Source organism: Homo sapiens, chromosome 21 (assembly GCF_000001405.40).
Source record: "Homo sapiens chromosome 21, GRCh38.p14 Primary Assembly".
Classification (NCBI taxonomy): Eukaryota; Metazoa; Chordata; class Mammalia; order Primates; family Hominidae; genus Homo; species Homo sapiens.
Window position 1 is genome coordinate 28,804,359 of NC_000021.9, and position 18,417 is coordinate 28,822,775.

An 18,417-nucleotide genomic window follows, 5' to 3' on the forward strand; every position below is an offset into this window, starting at 1 on the left:
CAAAATAAAGACAAGAACAGCCAGATTTTCTTTTTAGCTGTCAACAGAAAAATTCCAGCAATCAGTTTGAATATCTCATATAATTAAATGTTGAGGCCGGGCACAGTGGCTCACGCCTGTAATCTCAGCACTTTGGGAGGCTGAGGCAAGAGGATCGTTTGAGCCCAGGAGTTCAAGACCAGCCTGGGCAACATAGGGAGACCCCATCTCTACAAATAACTTAAAAATAAAATAAAATAATAAATAAATACACATTGAAATCATTTTTAAAGGTAATACATATGACCCTAAAATGATCTACCCTGTGGTAAAGAGACAATGGCACTTGGTAGGCTGATGGATCATAAACCAAAATCCTATCCAAAAGCTTCATCACTCAGAACACTTGATAATCTAACATTAGACGGGCCACATGGCATGTGCACATTTCTTTCATTCCTGCACACACAATATCAAAAGGGCTGGGAAGAAAAGCAGCATTCATTGAGTGACAATTACACTACATACCCTATTCTAGACACTTTGCATACTGTTTGTAATTCATGTTTCTCAAAGTACCCTGAGAGTTTCTTAAATCTACAGAAACCTGGGTTGTCATTAAATATACAGCTTACCAGGCCCCACCCCTGAAAATTCTGATTCAGTTGGGCTAGATTGGGGCCCAGGAATCTGTGTTTTAACAAAATGTACTCTTCATTGCAATGTTGTAAAATTATTTTCCTTGTTTCTGTCTTGCAGAAGCAAGGCAACTGTGAGAATTAAACAATTTATCAGGGCACCCAGATGACACAGGGAGAGCTGGATATTCAATCTCAAGTAGGTTGGCTATAAAGCCGACTTTATCACTGGGCCATGCCAAATCCCAGTAAAACTCCATTTGCACTCTGACTGAAATAGTGGCTTCAGTTCCCCATCTATAGCAGTTCTAGCTTCTCACTGCCTGTTTTCCCTCCCACCACCCGCCCATAAAATCCAGCACTGTATAGGCTCTTGAATTATATTATTGGTTATTATATGATAAAATTTTGCATTGCAACTTGAGCAGGAAGACAAACTAATGAGAATCACATCCTATTTTCTAATTGTCTCAAACCATACCTCTATAAAGTAAAAAGAGTTGATTGAAACCAAAATGTTTGGGAATTACAACAAGCTATTCCTAATCGACACAACTTGTCAGAAATTTGGAGGCTGCCGTCAGCTCAGTAGCTTCTCAAACAAAGCAGTATCAGAGTATGTTTTGAGTCCCTGATTCTTTCAACTGGGTAGATGCTTCTGTACGACTTTACATTGTTTTATTTAAAAGCTGTGCTTTTTTTTTCTCCGAAACTAGTGTATTTATAGGTGCTACATGCTTTAAAAGTCTCTGACTTTGAATCCCTGATTCTTTCGGCTGGGTAGATGCTTCTGTACGACTTTACATTGTTTTATTTAAAAGTTCTGCTTTCTTTTCTCTGAAACTAATGTATTTATAGGTGCTACATGTTTTAAAAGTCTACAACTGTGAAAAATGATGTAACACTGAAACAAGCAAAACCTTGAAGGAAAGTTGAAATTGAGATTGTCCAAAAACTCAGCCAGTACATAGTGTTTCCGCCTACTCTGATTTTTCAGCAGTTTTGTGATTTCTTTTCCCTTGTTTGTTTTTGAGTACACTCATCAGTATGTCCCATGGCATAGTGTCTGTTTTCCAAAAATCCAGAAACATGAGTCAGCTGTTCAACTATTATATACAAATTTGGTAAAGTACCGTATTCATGGAATCTGAGTGTGTTTTCCAGGAATTACGTCTCCAGTGCCCCCACATGACTGCCTGATCAGCCTGTGATGCCTCTGAAGTGTTCTGCACCTACTTTCTAAGGGAAATGTTGTCACGACAGATAATTATGGAATTGTGGGCTTTTAGTTATTCAGAATAAATCTACAAGGCAATAGTTTAATGAATTTAATATGCTGGTTCATGTAAAATGTCATATGCCATATGTAACATGACTGTAACTTAAGGATATTCTTTTAACTCAGTAAACTTGGTAGAAAATCCTTGTATGAACCTGATACGGATTAAACTGTGCTCTCTCAAAAAAAATATGTTGAAATCCTAACCTCCAGTAACTCAGAATGCCACCTTATTTAGAAATAGGGTAATTATAGATGAAATTAGTTAAGATGAGGTCATGAATGAATTCTAATCCAATATGACTGGTGGACTTGTAAAAAGGAGGTATTGGGCAGTCCCACAGAGGCTGGACTGCCTGGCTGGTGCATCTTTCCTGGTCTGCAAAAGACAAGAAAATAAAATTAAAAAGGGAAAATGGGACAGACATAGACATGCAGAGAGAAAAGGTTATGTGAAGAGACATCCAGGGAGAAGATGGACGAATGAAAATGGAAGAAGAGATTCAAATTATGCTGCCACGCACCAAAGAATGCCTGGGTTCACCAAAAGCTAGGAAAGGACAAGGAAGGATGCTACCCAGATGCTTCAGAGTGACCATGGCCTTACTAACCCCTTGATTTCAGACCTCTAGCCTCCATAACTGTGAGACTAAATTTCTGCTGTTCTTAAGCAACTCAGTTTGTGGCACTTCTTTATGGCAGCTCTAGGAAACAAATATAGAGCCCTTGAAGGTACTTTCAGCTGGAAAATGTCAGAGGCAGGCACAACTAAACTGAGGTTCCTGCTTAAGTGAATTTATTCAGCACAGGACTTTAAATGCCATTTATATCATATGACTTCCAAAGGTATTATCTACCATCATTACCACTTCCCGAGCTCCAGAATCAAATCTGCAACCACCCGATGGGTAGCTTCTCTTGCCTAATAGCATCTGAAAATTAGCACAACCAAAGCAGGACTTTGAATTCATTGCCTGCCCATACTTCCCCTAGTCTACTGCATCTAAGTAAAGACATCACCATCTACTAAGTTATTTAAAGAAAAACCCGGGAGTCATCCTAATTCCTTCCTGCCTACCCACCATATCCAATCCATCTGTGTGTCCTCTAAATTCTACGTCCAGGTCAGTTTCCTGGGAGACACATTCTGAGGTGGAGATTAGCATGCAGAATTGTTATCAGGGATTGCCCTCAGAATCAACATCCACAGACAGAGGGAGAAGCTGAACTGCAATGCAGTCACCATAGGGACCTCAGTTCATCCTACAAAGAACTCTGGAGCTGTGAGGGCCCCTATCTTGAGTCATCTTTACCCCCACTCCACTGACCAGTTAGTGAGTGCAGGTCATCCCTGATAAGGGAATGTGGCCTTGGCTGACATGGTTCTTTTTGGCAGAGAGCAATTCCTGGAGAGAGTCCTTAGTGGAGAGCCATCAGCCTCCAAATTTTTCAACAGCTAAGGTAATAAGTACCTTGGTTCAGAAAAAAGATCTGGATGGCATACCACAGCATCTGCTATACTAGAAGAGAAAGAAGAAATATCCTGACCAGCTAAATCCTGTAAAACTAAATACCTGTGAAAATTCAGGAAAACTAATGATTAATTTTTTTCCCATCCATCCCCTCCATTTTCCCACTCAGCCAGTCTTTCTGTGTTCTTAATTACAGGAGGTGATGTGAAAGAGTCTTCTAGAATGAATTTCCATCAGCTGGGTCTTTCTGGGATGCTAAGAAAAGTTTAGGTTTATAAAGAATGTTTGAGAGAAACAGAGAGCTAGAGCAAGTGCCTCCCCCAAAACCTTGAAACAAGATTGCCCCCAAGATGAAGAGAGAGGAGACACAAGGAAGATGATGACAGCAGAGAAGTCATGGGCCCCAACAAAAGGGCAGAATCTAAATTGGGCTGCATGGACAGGGACAAGGGCAAACATCTCAACAAAAACTCCCATGAGGAGTACTGTTCCAGTGATGTTTGATTTTCAAACTCATTTCAGGACCACATTACCTTGCTTGCTCCAACTTTATAGTAAGTCTTGAAGTCAGGTAATGTAATGTAATTCATCCAACTTTCTTCTTCTTTTCCAATATTTTTGAAATGTTCTAGATCCCTTGCATTTCCATATATTTTTTAATTCCTTTGTCAAATTCTACCCTTCCAAAAAAAAAAAAAAGCCTACTGGAAACATGACGAGGATTGCATTGAATCAGTAGATCAATTTGATGAGAAATAACATCTCAACAATATTGAATGTTTCAATCCATGAACATGGTATATCTCCTTTTATTTGGGTCTTGTTTAATTTCCCTTGGCATTGCTTTGTGGTTTTCAGTGTAGAGAGCTTATATATTTATTTATAAATACATTATATCTTTATGTTATTATAAATGCAGTTGTTTTTATTTCATTTTTCAATTATGTACTGCTAGTATATGAAATAAAATTGATCTTTTACATTAACCTTGTATACCGTGATTTTGCTAAATTCACTTATGAGTTCTAGTGGTTGTAGAACTCTTAGAACTATTTATGTAAACAACCATGTCATTTGCTAATAAAGACAATTTTACTTTTTCCTGTCTGCTCTTTATATTAGTATTTAACAAAATGCATTTCAACTTATTCAAATTTAATAGTTTTAATTAAGAGAATGGTATTATTAATGTTCATCAAGATAACTCATTTTTCAAAGCACTCAAGAACAACAGATTAAAACTGTCATTTCAGTCATCAAATTTTACTTTTGCTAGTTTGTGCAAAAAGAGTGGCAATAAAGCAAAATAAAATTTTGTCTTTAATGAATTGTGCTAGAGAAATTCACAATTGCTCTATAGAGGTGACATATTCATCATAATTTCAAATAATGAGAGGGATTGCTGATTAGTAGTATAAACTGAAGAAAACTTTTGGAGATCAAGATATCTAAGCTAGCCTTTGAAGAAAGTTTAGACAGTCAAATTAGTGGTAGGAAAGATAGAGGCATAAAGTAAGCAAAGGTAGAGGGAGAAATTAACAAAACAAGTTCCAAATATAGAGGCAGAGAACAAATCATATTGTTATGTATCAGTAACATAATAACAGAAGGTCTCAAATGATCGGCTACTGAGTTTGGATTTTATGGTCTACTTATGTAAAGGTTTTTAAGTAGTGAAGAATTACAAGAGGAAATCTTCCAACTAGACCATAGCCAAAGAAAGGTTGAGCTCTGAGAGGAGATAATATGTATAAATACTTGTACAGCTAACAGTTCATGTAAGAGCTGAACAGTTTTCCCATATCAGTGTTTTTGCAAAGCCAAATAAATAATTAATGTTCTTGAGGACAGGCTACTAACTTCATTTAAAATGCAACAGCTGGAAGTTCCCATGTCTAATCCTATAAGAATGGCTTAATATAAGGCTGATACATAGTTAACATTCAGAAATGAGGAAGCAATTTCTGCTATGTGGATGAAATGTTCCAAGATAAAAAAAATCTTGAATTCTAATGCTTTTTAAAATGCTTTGATATATAGTGCTAAAAACTCACAATAAATATATTAATTACAGAGTAGAATTCATAGACAGTTGTATCTATCTTGATGCCATCCAAAGGGAGTATCACCTTTAAAATACACAAGGAAATGCTTCAAGGAATGAGTAGCAGTTGATCCAAACCTTGTAAGGTTATCCATTTCTGGGCACAAATTTCCTTGTATTCTCTCACTGCCTTACTCTGCTATATAATGTCATGGTCTACAAGGCTATTGAAATAGTATAAAACAAAACCATACTAGTCTGAATGCCTGGAGCCTCCATGGCCATGGAGTATCCGTAGATTCCCTCAGCCCAGTGCTAATACACTGCTCTACCAGAAATGTGCTTCTCTCCATTAAGCAGTATCCATGTCTTCAGCTCTTGGGGAAACTATCTCTGGTACAGTGCTAGATTAGGTCCCCCCAATAGGACACAAATTTTTCCCACCCATTCAAGAAGCAGTCATTTCCATTTGGTCACTCAGCTTTCCATCAGGAAAACTGAAGCCACTCTAGGTATTTCAACCAGTAATAATTTAATAGACGGACTCAGGGACTTACAAAACTGTTAAAAAGACTGAGAGAGCAACAGTCATGGAAGCTTTCATTTACAGTCAATAAATCAAAAAGGGCATGAATTTAAAGAAATATCCGCTAGTACCAGAGGGGCTGACTCTCAGGAGCTCACCCAGCAACCATTTGCAAACCTCACTTCTGTCACCTGCCTGCTGGTGCAACTAAAGATCAGAGGCCCTCCTTTTCTGTTTTTCCACATTCACATATGTGCCTCACATTGGGATAATCTAAACTGGATCTTGCTGATGAGGTAAACTGGGAATGTAATTTTTAGCATTCCAGCCCTACAATGTAGGGTGGGACTTAGACGGGCAAGGATATTGCTGAAAACTAATAGACAATATCGAGCACATCTTTCTTTACCTCATAACCCATAGCCAAAACCACTCCCCAAAAATACTCATTCTTCCACAGTATTCTCACTGTGGTGATTTCCCTTCAGAGGCGCAGTTCAGTCTTCTTTCTTTTGCATTCTGTGTTCTGCCAGTCCTTCTTATAAGCATGTCTGCTCCCCAATGGAAACCAGCATCCTCTACATCTGATCTTCCAAAGGGCTACTTTTCCAGAGTTTGAATAACAAGTGTATGCATTATTGCAGGTTCAAAGATGGAGAAGGAATCATGTGGCGAGACTTTCACTAAGCCAAAGATTAAGTCCCTAACATGAAAAGGCTAAGTTGTGCAATACACACTGAACAGTGTTTCAGTGAACCAGCCTATGCACAGAAAACCAACTATGTACAGAAAATCCAGACATAGGCCAGGCACAATGGCTCATGCCTGTAATCCCAGCACTTTAGGAGGCCAAGGCAGGAGGATTTCTTGAGACCAGGAATTCAAGATTAGCCAACAAATTGAGATCTCATCTCTAAAGAGAGAAAGAGGGAAAGAGATAAACAGAGAAAGAGGAAAGAAAGAAAGAAAGAAAGAGAAAGAAAGAAAAGAAAAGAAGAAAGGGAAGGGAAGGGGAGGGGAGGGGAGGAAGGAAGGAAGGAGAAAGAAAGGAAGGAAGGAAGGGAGGGAGGAAGGAAGGAAAGGAAGGAAGGAAGGAGAAACAGAGAAGGAAGGAAGGAAGGAAGGAAGGAGGGAGAGAGGGACGGACGCAGGGAGGGAGGGAGGGAGAGGGAGGGAAAGAAAGAAAAGAAAGAAAGCCAAGAAGGCTGATATATATTTAACATTCTTATTATGAATAATAATCTTAACATTCATATTTAACATACTTTGGCATATTCCAACCCAAAGAGAATCCACAGAGCAGATAGATTTGGGAGTAGCTTATCCTCACTATTCCCACTCATCCTCCCCTACCCTTTGAACGTACCAGCTTTACAATAATTCTGTATGTGTCTGAATATTCATGTGTCTGACTCTCTCACTAGGTTGTAGGTACTTTGCTAAGCTTTGTATCTTTGCTACATAATATGATGCCAATTATATAGCAGGATTTCCATGAATAAATGGAACGGTAAGATGGAGCTTGAAAAGTTTTCCACCACATCTCCAACTGGTTGCTTAATGTTCCTGTGAATATATTGCTTAGCCATTCAGACACCACATATCTAAAATAAAATTCATCCGTTCTTTAAAACTTTCTTCCCTTAAGGGGTTAGTAGTGGTTTTTAACAATGTGGTTCATCAGAAAGGTGGAAAAATCCTAAGGTCCAGATGTGTTATGGATCCACGTGACTATTGAAAACATTTAGGAAGAGATGTGGAGATAAAAACAGTAGAAGTAAATATTTTTAGGAAGATAGAAACGAAAATTGCTGGGCATTAGCTAGCAAGTATTTGTGGTCTAGCCAGAAGTATTAATGGCATTTTTAAAGTATTTGAATATCTGATGCTATTGAATGATAGTATAATGGCATTCCCAGAGTTATTTAATATTGATATAAAATTCCAGCTTTTGCCCATTTAGTATGATATTGGCTGTGGGTTGGTCATAAATTGCTCTTATTATTTTGAGATACATTCCATCAATACCTAGTTTATTGAAAGTTTTTAGCATGAAGGGGTATTGAATTTTATTGAAGGCCTTTCCTGCATCTATTGAGATAATCATGTGGTTTTTGTCATTGGTTCTGTTTATGTGATGGATTACATTTATTTGGTATGTTGAACCAGCCTTGCATCCCAGGGATGAAGCCAACTTGATCGTGGTGGATAACCTTTTTGATGTGCTGCTAGATTCGGTTTGCCAGTATTTTATTGAGGATTTTCACATTGATGTTCATCAGGGATATTGGCCTGAAAATTTTGTTTTGGTTGTGTCTCTGCCAGGTTTTGGTATCAGGATTATGCTGGACTCATAAAATGAGTTAGGGAGGAGTCCCTCTTTTTCTATTGTTTGAAATAGTTTCAGAAGGAATGGTACCAGCTCCTCTTTGTACCTCTGGTAGAATTCAGCTGTGACTGTCTGGTCCTGAGCTTTTTTTAGTTGGTAGGCTATTAATTACTGCCTCAGTTTCATAACTTGTTATTGGTCTATTTAGGGATTAGATTTCTTCCTGGTTTAGTCTTGGGAGGGAGTATGTGTCCAGGAATTTATCCATTTCTTCTAGATTTTCTAGTTTATTTGCACAGAGGTGTTTATAGTACTCTCTGATGGTAGTTTGTATTTCTGGGGGATCAGTGGTGATATCCCCTTTATCATTTTTTATTGTGTCTGTTTGATTCTTCTCTCTTTTTGAAAACCCGCACAAGACAAGGATGCCCTCTCTCACCACTCCTATTCAACACAGTATTGGAAGTTCCAGCCAGGGCAATCAGGCAAGAGAAAGAAATAAAATGTATTCAAATAGGAACAGAGGAGGTCAAATTGTCTCTCTTTGCAGATGACATGATTGTATATTTAGAAAACCCTATCGTCTCAGCCCCAAATCTCCTTAAGCTGATAAGCAATTTCAGCAAAGTCTCAGGATACAAAATCAATGTGCAAAAATCACAAGCATTCCTATACACCAATAATAGTCAAACAGAGAGTAAAATCATGAGTGAATTCCCATTCACAATTGCTACAAAGAGAATAAAATACCTAGGAATACAACTTACAAGGGATGTGAACCAATGCTCAAGGAAGTAAGAGAGGACACAAACAAATGGAAAAACATTCCATGTTCACGGATAGGAAGAATCAATATCGTGAAAATGGCCATACTGCCTGAAGTAATTTATAGATTCAATGCTATCCCCATCAAACTACCACTGACTTTCTTCACAGAATAAGAAAAAAACTACTTAACATTTCATATGGAACCAAAAAAGAGCCCATATAGCCAAGATAATCGTAAGCAAAAGAACAAAGCTGGAGGCATCACATTACCTGACTTCAAACTATACTACAAGGCTACATTAACCAAAACAGCAGGTACTGGTACCAAAACAGATCTACAGACCAATGGAACAGAACAGAGGCCTCAGAAATAACGCCACACATCTACAATTATCTGATCTTTGACAAACCTGACAAAAACAAGCAATAGGAAAAGGATTCCCTATTTAACAAAGGGTGTTCAGAAAACTGGCTAGCCATATACAGAAAACTGAAACTGGACCCCTTCCTTACACCTTAAACAAAAATTAACACAAGATGGATTAAAGACTTAAACATGGGCTGGGTGTGGTGGCTCACACTTGTCTTAATCACAGCACTTTGGGCGGCTGAGGTGAGCGGATCACGAGGTCAGGAGATTGAGACCATCCTGGCCAACATGGTGAAACCCCATCTCTAATAAAAATACAAAAAATTAGCTGGGCATGGTGGTGCACGCCTGTAGTCCCAGCTACTTGAGAGGCTGAGGCAGGAGAATATCTTGAACCTGGGAGGCAGAGGTTGCAGTGAGCCGAGATCATGCCACTGCACTCTAGCCTGGGCGACAGAGCGAGACTCCATCTCAAAAAAAACACTTGAATGTAAGACCTAAAACCATAAAAACCCTAGAAGAAAACCTAGGCAATACCATTCAGGACATAGGCATGAGCAAGGGACTTCATGTCTAAAACACCAAAAGCAATGGCAACAAAAGACAAAATTGACAAACGGGATCTAATTAAACTAAAGAGCTTCTGCACAGCAAAAGAAACTACCATCAGAGTGAACAGGCAACCTACAGAATGGGAGAAAATTTTTGCAACCTACTCATCTGACAAAGGGCTAATATCCAGAATCTACAATGAACTCAAACAAATTTACAAGAAAAAAAAAAAACCCCATCAAAAAGTGGGCGAAGGATATGAACAGACACTTCTCAAAAGAAGACATTTATGCAGCCAAAAAACACATGAAAAAATGCTCATCATCACTGGCCATCAGAGAAATGCAAATCAAAACCACAACGAGATACCATCTCACACCAGTTAGAATGGCTATCATTAAAAAATCAGGAAACAACAGGTGCTGGAGAGGATGTGGAGAAATAGGAACACTTTTACACTGTTGGTGGGACTGTAAACTAGTTCAACCATGTGGAAGTCGGTGTGGCGATTCCTCAGGGATCTAGAACTAGAAATTCCATTTGACCCAGCAATCCCATTACTGGGTATATACCCAAAAGATTATAAATCATGCTGCTATAAAAACACATGCACACGTATGTTTACAGCGGCACTATTCACAATAGCAAAGACTTGGAACCAACCCAAATGTCCAACAATGATAGACTGGATTAAGAAAATGTGGCACATATACACCATGGAATACTATGCAGTCATAAAAAATGATGAGTTCATGTCCTTTGTAGGGACATGGATGAAGCTGGAAACCATCATTCTCAGCAAACTATCGCAAGGACAAAAAACCACACACCGCATGTTCTCACTCCTAGGTGGGAACTGAACAATGAGAACACATGGACACAGGAAGGGGAACATCATACACTGGGGACTGTTGTGGGGTGGGGGGAGGGGGAAGGGATAGCATTAGGGGAGATACCTAATGCTAAATGACGAGTTAATGGGTGCAGCACACTAACATGGCACATGTATGCAACAAACCTGCACGTTGTGCACATGTACCCTAAAACTTGAAGCATAATAATAATTAAAAAAAAAAGAAAAAAAGATAGGGAAGGGTCTGAAGGCAGCCTTGAAGATGCTAAGCTGGTTAGTCTCTCCCACATCCTACTAAACAGCTGCCAGGAAAAAATGGCAATTGGAGTAAAGCACCAATATCAGCTCCATGGCCCCCAAAACACAGTGGTGTCCAGGTAAAAACTGACCCAGGGAGGAACAGGGTGCCACCTTACATAGCACCTTTCACCAACAGGACATTCCATGCCTCCAACACATTCACTGAAGGACAGCTACAGTTATCACAATCAGCATCTTCAAGCAGGTGACAAAGACAAAGATGAGCAAAACAAAAATGAAAATTACCAAATATTTGAGTAAAAGCAACAGCATCAAAAAATGGCACCAAGTCCAACCAACTAAATAACTAACATCTGAGAAAACAGAATTCATAGAAGAATTGAGGGAGGAAGGTCTTTACAGTAAACCATACATATAGTTGTTATGGACTGCATTATTATGGCCCCCTGAATTTATATATTGAAGCTGTAACCCCTAGTACCTCAAAAATGTGATTGTATTTTGAAATGGGGCCTTTAAAGAGGTTAAGTAAGGTAAAATGAGGCTGTTAGTGTGGGCTGTAACACAATCTGAATGAAGATTAGGGCACACAAAGAGACACCAGACAAGTGCACACCCAGAGGGAAGATCAAGTGAAGAGGCAGCAAGAGATGGCATCTGAAGACAAGAAGAGAGGCCTCAGAGGAAATTAACTGTGCTGGCACCTTGATCTTGGGCTTCCAGCCTTCTGAACTGTGAGAAAATAAATTTCTGTTATTTCAGCCACCCAGCCTGTGATACTTTGTTCCTAGCAAACTAATACAATAGTGATATTCTCAGAAAGAAGTCATGAGAATATTAACTACCAGGAAAAACAAACTAAATAGTTTGGAAATTTAGAATGTCAGTGTTAAAATTAATTTGTGTCAAGATCTATATCCCAGGGAAATAAAAAATAATAATTTTTTAAAAGTTATCCAGCTGGGCACAGTGGCTCATGCCTGTAATCCCAGAACTTTGAAAGGCTGAAGTTGGAAGATCATTTGAAGCCAGAAATTCAAGAGCAGCCTGGGCCACAAAGCAAGACACTGTCTCTACAAAAAATAAAAATGAAAATGAAAAATTACCCAGGCATGGTGGCATACGCTTGTAGTCCCAGCTGCTTGGGAGGCTGAGACAGTAGGATCGCTTGAGCCCAGGAGTTGGAGCCCGCACTGAAATATAAGCACACCACTGCACTACAGCCTAAGAGTCAGAGTGAGCCCTGTCTCTTAAAAAAATTAAAATTTACCTAAGAGAAGAGATACAGCTGAAGAATGAATTAGTGAGCTGGGAGATCAAGCTAAGCAATTCTCCTAAAATGCTGCGCAAAGAAAAGTGAAGAAAGCACGAAGGAAGAGCTAGAAGGCATGAACGGTGCATCCAGGAGCTTCAGCAGCTGCCTGGTAAGTGCTCCAGACTGAAAGCAGAGAAAATAGAAGACATGAGATGATAACTTAGAAGTCACTGAAGAAATTTCCTCAGAGCTGAAGAAACACATGAATCTTTTCATTCAAATGGACCATTATATGTCATGCAGAGTGAATAAAAGAAGCACAGTAAAACACATCCACGTGAAACTTCAAAATCCAGTGAAAAAGAAAATGCTAAACACTTCCAGTTGGGCAGGGGGTGGGGTGGCAATTATAAACTGATGAATGAAAATTAGATTACTGTCTGTAATCACAACAGCAACACTGGGTGCTAAGAAATGTTGGAATATTATATTCAAAATTCTCAAGAAAAATTCACATTGAACCTAGAATCCCATTTCCAGCCCAATTTCAAACACAAAATAAAGACATTTTCAGATATGCAAGGACTCAGAAAGCTTATTTGTTTACCCTTTCTGAAATAGTTTCTCAAGGATGTATTCCAAAAAAATTAAAGATAATGTATAATGAAGAGGAAGATATAGAATACAATAAATTGTAGAAAACAAAGAAAAAAGTAGCTATTTCAAAAGTTATTGATGTATTATTTTTATTTAATTACCTTTTATAAACAAAATTACAAGTGATCTCTCCATGATAGGTGTAGGGTTGGGCAAAGAGGACAAAAATGGGAACACTCTTCTCTTATTTGGGGATCCTGTTTACTAACTCTAGATTTCAACTGAAAAACATAAGCTTAAGTATTCATTTTTGAGAAATATATACACTTTGAAAGTCACTAAGAAAGGAAGATGAAGGATTTCCTTGAGAGTAGTAATTATACCATGTAACTGCTAATAAATGTCTGATGGAGTGAAGAAAATTTGTCTATAAAAGTAGCAGGGAACACTGACCCTTCTCAATTGTGCCTTCTATCCCTTGGCCATTAGTGTTGGGAGACAGTGCAGTAATCAAAAACACAGATGGGGCTCAGGTCCCAGCTTCCCATTCACTAGCTGTATGTCCTTACTCATGACAGTTACTATCTCGGAGCTCTGGTGTGTCCATTGTTAAAATGGAATTAATAAAATCTTGTAAAATTGCCATGTAGATAAATAAGTCAACCCTCCCTTGGTGACCAACCATCTGCACATACAGATAGTGTGATGGTTAATACTGAGTGTCAACTTAACAGGATTGAAGCATGCAAAGTATTGTTCCTAGGTGTGTCTGTGAGGGTGTTGCCAAAGGAGATTAACATTTGAGTCAGTAGACTTGGGAAAGGGAGATCCACCCTCAATCTGGGTGAGCACAATCTAATCAGCAGCCATGTGACCAGAATAAAAAGCAGGCAGAAGAACGTGAAAGGACTAGACTGGCTGAGTCTTCTGGTCTCCATCTTTCTCCCGTGCTGGATGCTTCTTACCCTCAAACATGGAACTCCAAGTTTTTCCGCTTTGGGACTCTTGGACCTTTGACCACAGACTGAAGGCTGCACTGTTGGCTTCCCTACTTTTGAGGTTTTGGGACTTGGACTAGCTTCCTTGCTCCTCAGCTTGCAGATGGCCTATTGTGGGACCTCACCTTATGATTGTGTAAGTTAACACTCATTAATAAACTCATATATATATGTATATATGTATAACCTATTAGTTCTGTCCCTCTAGAGAACCCTGACTAATACAGACAGGAATATAGAGCAATGTCTAGACAGAGCCTGAGACCCTCCTCACCTCCAAAGCACCTTGTGTTTTTCTCTCCTTCCCCTTCTTTGCCCACCCTCTCCTTAGGAATTTTCAGCAAATCCATATCTTAGAAAGCTGCAGGGAGGAGTTGGCCTGATGGGCTTGCCACACTTGGGCCCCACTGCAGTTTCCCTGGAGCCTCACAGGGACTGCATCACAGTCCGTGGGGCTCAATAATAAGCTCTTTCAGCATCAGCCTAGCTTCACCATTAATTGCTACCACATTGAGGCAAAGAACTGTGGTTTTCATGGCCTCCCCAAATCATGTCGGATCATTCCTACAAAAAAGTGGACCAGAAAGAAAGAAACTAGGATTTATTTCTTAGTGCCAGAAGTAACATAATTACAGAGGAATGTTCTGGCTAATGTAAAAGTTGCTCTTTGGTATGTTGACCTAAGACCTATATTTGCTGTTTTGTTTTCAATGTTCTTCCTCACATGTCCTGTCTTTACCATTTCCAAGCCTAAGAACTGTGGGTTATCTATAATCAGTCATTAATGTTTTCGTTACCCTCAGTTAGTGAATACTCAAAGAAGCTGGAAATTCTCAAAGCTCTGGTAGTTGCTCAAGGAAAAGCCAACAAATAATAGGGTATAGAAAAGCCTCAAGTAAAACTAGATGGGTATTGTTGGATACCCATGACGTAAGGATACATAAAGTCTTTCATTTTGCTGAGTCAAAATGTGCCATCTAAACTACACAGCAACCATGCAGTTTATTAGCTCAAAAAAAAAAAAAAAGGCCCTGGTCATTTAAATCTATGCCATTCATGTGTTTATACATATTTTTATATGCTTTATATAGGAAGTCTTTTAACTTTTTTTTATTTAAGCATAGGTAAAAGTTATATAACCAAAAAATTCGATTAACTCAAATACATGAGAATATTTGGGCAATCTTTTGGCTTACTGATTTTTCTAGTTAGTGGAGGATTTACCAAAGAGTTCTTTCAGCTTTCCACCTTTATTTTTCTTTTCCTTTTTTTTTTTTTTTTTTTCAGACAGAGTCTTAATCTGTCGCCAGGCTGGAGTGTGCAGTGGCGCGATCTCGGCTCACTGCAACCTCTGCCTCCCAGGTTCAAGCGATTCTCCTGCCTCAGCCTCCCAAGTAGCTAGGACTACAGGCGCGGGTGCCACCATGCCTGGCTAATTTTTTGTATTTTTAGTAGAGACGGAATTTCACCATGTTGGCCAGGATGGTCTCGATCTTTTGACCCCATGATCCACCCACCTCGGCCTCCCAAAGTGCTGGGATTACAGGCATGAGCCACTGCGCCTGGCTCCACCTTTATTTTCTAACGATTTCTTTACCAAGTCTTCCCAGGTCCTTTACTTAGTACTTTTATCTCACCTAAGGTACATGACTTTTTAACCAATGAGTTCTTATTGTAAAAATGCCTCAGAAATATCATTCTGGCTGTCAATTTATTAAGTGATATGAATTCATGGGTTAACAATTTATGTCTTTTTCATAGAAAGCTAAATGTACAAGAAAATCTCCAGATTTCATCATGATATACAAATGCTTTAAAGTGAAGGAGTTCAGGGAACTTGACCCCAAAATATGGCTCCCTAGTATAATGAGTATTTTGAACTAAAGGCCTTTAGAGATCAACAGATTTTAGAAGATACTTTTTCCCTATCTACATAAAGACCAGAGAGACCCATAAAGAGAGGAATTGTTTTCCTCCCCTACCTCTTGCCTCTCAATCCTCTGCCTCTCCCAAACACAAGCTGAAGTTCCCTCATCTGCCTAAAGTCTGGACCTACCAAAGAAGAAAACAATGACCTCTGGTCCCTTCCCTGAGTTTTCATTAACTGAACCCATATTGCAAGAAGGAAGACTAAAGTCTGTCAACAGACCTCGACAGACTTTTGTCACAAAACCTTGACTGCTCTGTGGGCCCAAGAGACCACTGTATGTTCTTCAAGCCCACTGATTTCCCCTAAAAATCATTTATTATCCCCCTAAAATTATCCACACTTCCCCATCTCCATTCCCCCTAAGAAATAGAGTATATAAACACCTGTATCCCATTGGAATATTGGACAATCACTCTGAGATTCCCTACATGCACATAATAGTAATAAATCTGTGTGCCTTTTCTTTTATTAATCTAAATTTTTGTGAGTTGATTTTTCAGCAAACCTTCCAAGCTTTCCCTTCACCCATACAAAAAGTGTGTAACTTTTGGGTTACTATATTTCTGGCTCTTATTTTTTGAATGTCTTCCATAGGGGGTTTTCTTTGTCTTATAAAAATGTGGGGAAGCTGAAATGCAGGGAATCTGAAGCAATCATATGTTTTTGTTTTACCTCCTATGTGAAATACACAAGTAAAGTGGTTTCTCGACACGTACATCAAGGGCTGAATTCCAAAGGTATCCCAGTTGTCTGAGCATTCTCCCCTACCTATCAGTGTATTCCTTTCCTCTTCTTACTTTTCCATAAACCAAATGTTTTCATTTCTTATATTTATACTTCTGTGACTCTTAATAAAGATAGTAAAGCATAAACAATAAATGCCTGAAATGCAGTTTTTGTCTGACTTTGGACTTACTCTGTTGTTCAGTTTTTTTTGAAGATTTTTCCTGCCAACCTTCCACTCCACCCACCATCACCCGACCCCGGCCCCCTCCATTTGGTTCACTGACACCTTCCAAAACCTATTCCATTGTCTAGCACTAATTACACTGCACCACAGAGGGAGAGGCTGTGGGCTCCAGAATCGGCAACCTCAATCTGAATCTCCGCTGCCCCACTGCGGGATTCTTAACCTCTCTGAGCCTCTATTCCTTTATCTGTAAAAGTGGAGATAATAGCAAAACTGGGTAATTTGCTGGAAATATTTAAATGAGTTGACCTATGTGAAAGAAACTGACTTTCAATAGATACTTAGTAAATTCTAGTTTCTCTTCCCTAGTTTGAGGAATTTGGAAGGAGGAATAACAATGACTGTGTCTATAAACTCATACCACTTTTCCACCGCACCCCTTTATCTTAACAATCTAAATGAAAGTTCAATGGCAGAGTACCAAAGAAAAGAAGCTAAAATGTTTATCTGAAAAAATCAGTAGACTTCTGCCAAATTTCCAGTCTCACAAAACCCAAGAATACTCTTCCCAAGAATTTCCAGTGCCCCTCCCCCAATCGCTAATAATAAAAACAACAATTCTGACATCTGTTTGCTGCTAGAATATACTGGTGGCTCAATCTTCAAAGAAAAATGTAATATAATCAAATATATTCAAATTAAAGTATAATTTAGAAGGTTTTTTTACACATCAGAAGGTATTTCAAGACCTTGCCCTTTCTCCATTTGTTAGTGGCAACACTTACTAGTTCTGGTTATTTTCACTGTCCACCGCTTTGGATCTGGATACTGGAAGTTTACCTCAGTAATACCTCCTGGAGGACCAAAAAGTGAGATAAACACAAATATCAGTATAATTGAATGAGGCAATATGGACAAACAACTGCAAAGAAGAGAGATACTCTATCATGTAGAATATTACATTCTCTGCTTCCCTTTTATGGACATTTTATTCTGCTACAGAATTCCAATCACTAGTTTAGCCACACTCTGAAAAGTCATTTTCCTTTTTGACTTGTAGTGGAGCCAATCAGTTTAGAAGCACTCAGGGAGGTATCTTATATACCATCTGGGACAAAGAAAATAAAGTATTTTTTCATTTCCTTAGCAGTTACAAATTTACCTAATGATATCATTCCAAATTGAGCAGAATATAAGGTTTGACTATTTTAATCATTTGGCAATTGTGGTCCAAGTCCTATTACAATATTAAGATACCCACAATTTAAATCACACATCATATGAAATAGTAATTTGCTTTAAAAATGCTGAATTTCTTGGCTCATGTTCTAAAAAGATATAGGAGACCAATTGCAACAAAAAAAATTATAGAACATGTGTGGAATAAAATATGTAAGGAATTTCCCTAGTTTATTTCCTTAAATGAGCCACACCATAAAAGTGGCTACAATGCATATATATATATATATATACACATATATATATCCCTGAGCCCTCGTAATTGTTAGATTGCTAGACTAGCTTTGCTATGAAAAAGCTGAGGAACTCCAGCTGGAGCCATTCCTTTCCCCAGTTATTACTGAAGGTTATATTTAATTATCTAGCTGAGCTGCTGTAATTAGCATCAACAAAGCTCTGTGCCATAATGACTTGATA

At 38.7% G+C, this 18,417-nt stretch overlaps 1 protein-coding gene across 1 annotated transcript in view; it reads right to left on the reverse strand.

Annotated features, from left to right (window-relative positions):
- HEMK2 (HemK methyltransferase 2, ETF1 glutamine and histone H4 lysine) overlaps positions 1–18,417 on the reverse strand; it is a 309,770-nt gene that overhangs the window by 228,761 nt on the left and 62,592 nt on the right. Inside the window, exon 8 of the transcript XR_007067787.1 lies at positions 17,547–17,615. The gene's annotated coding sequence lies outside the window, so the exon portion shown is untranslated. The remainder of the gene's footprint in view (positions 1–17,546; positions 17,616–18,417) is intronic.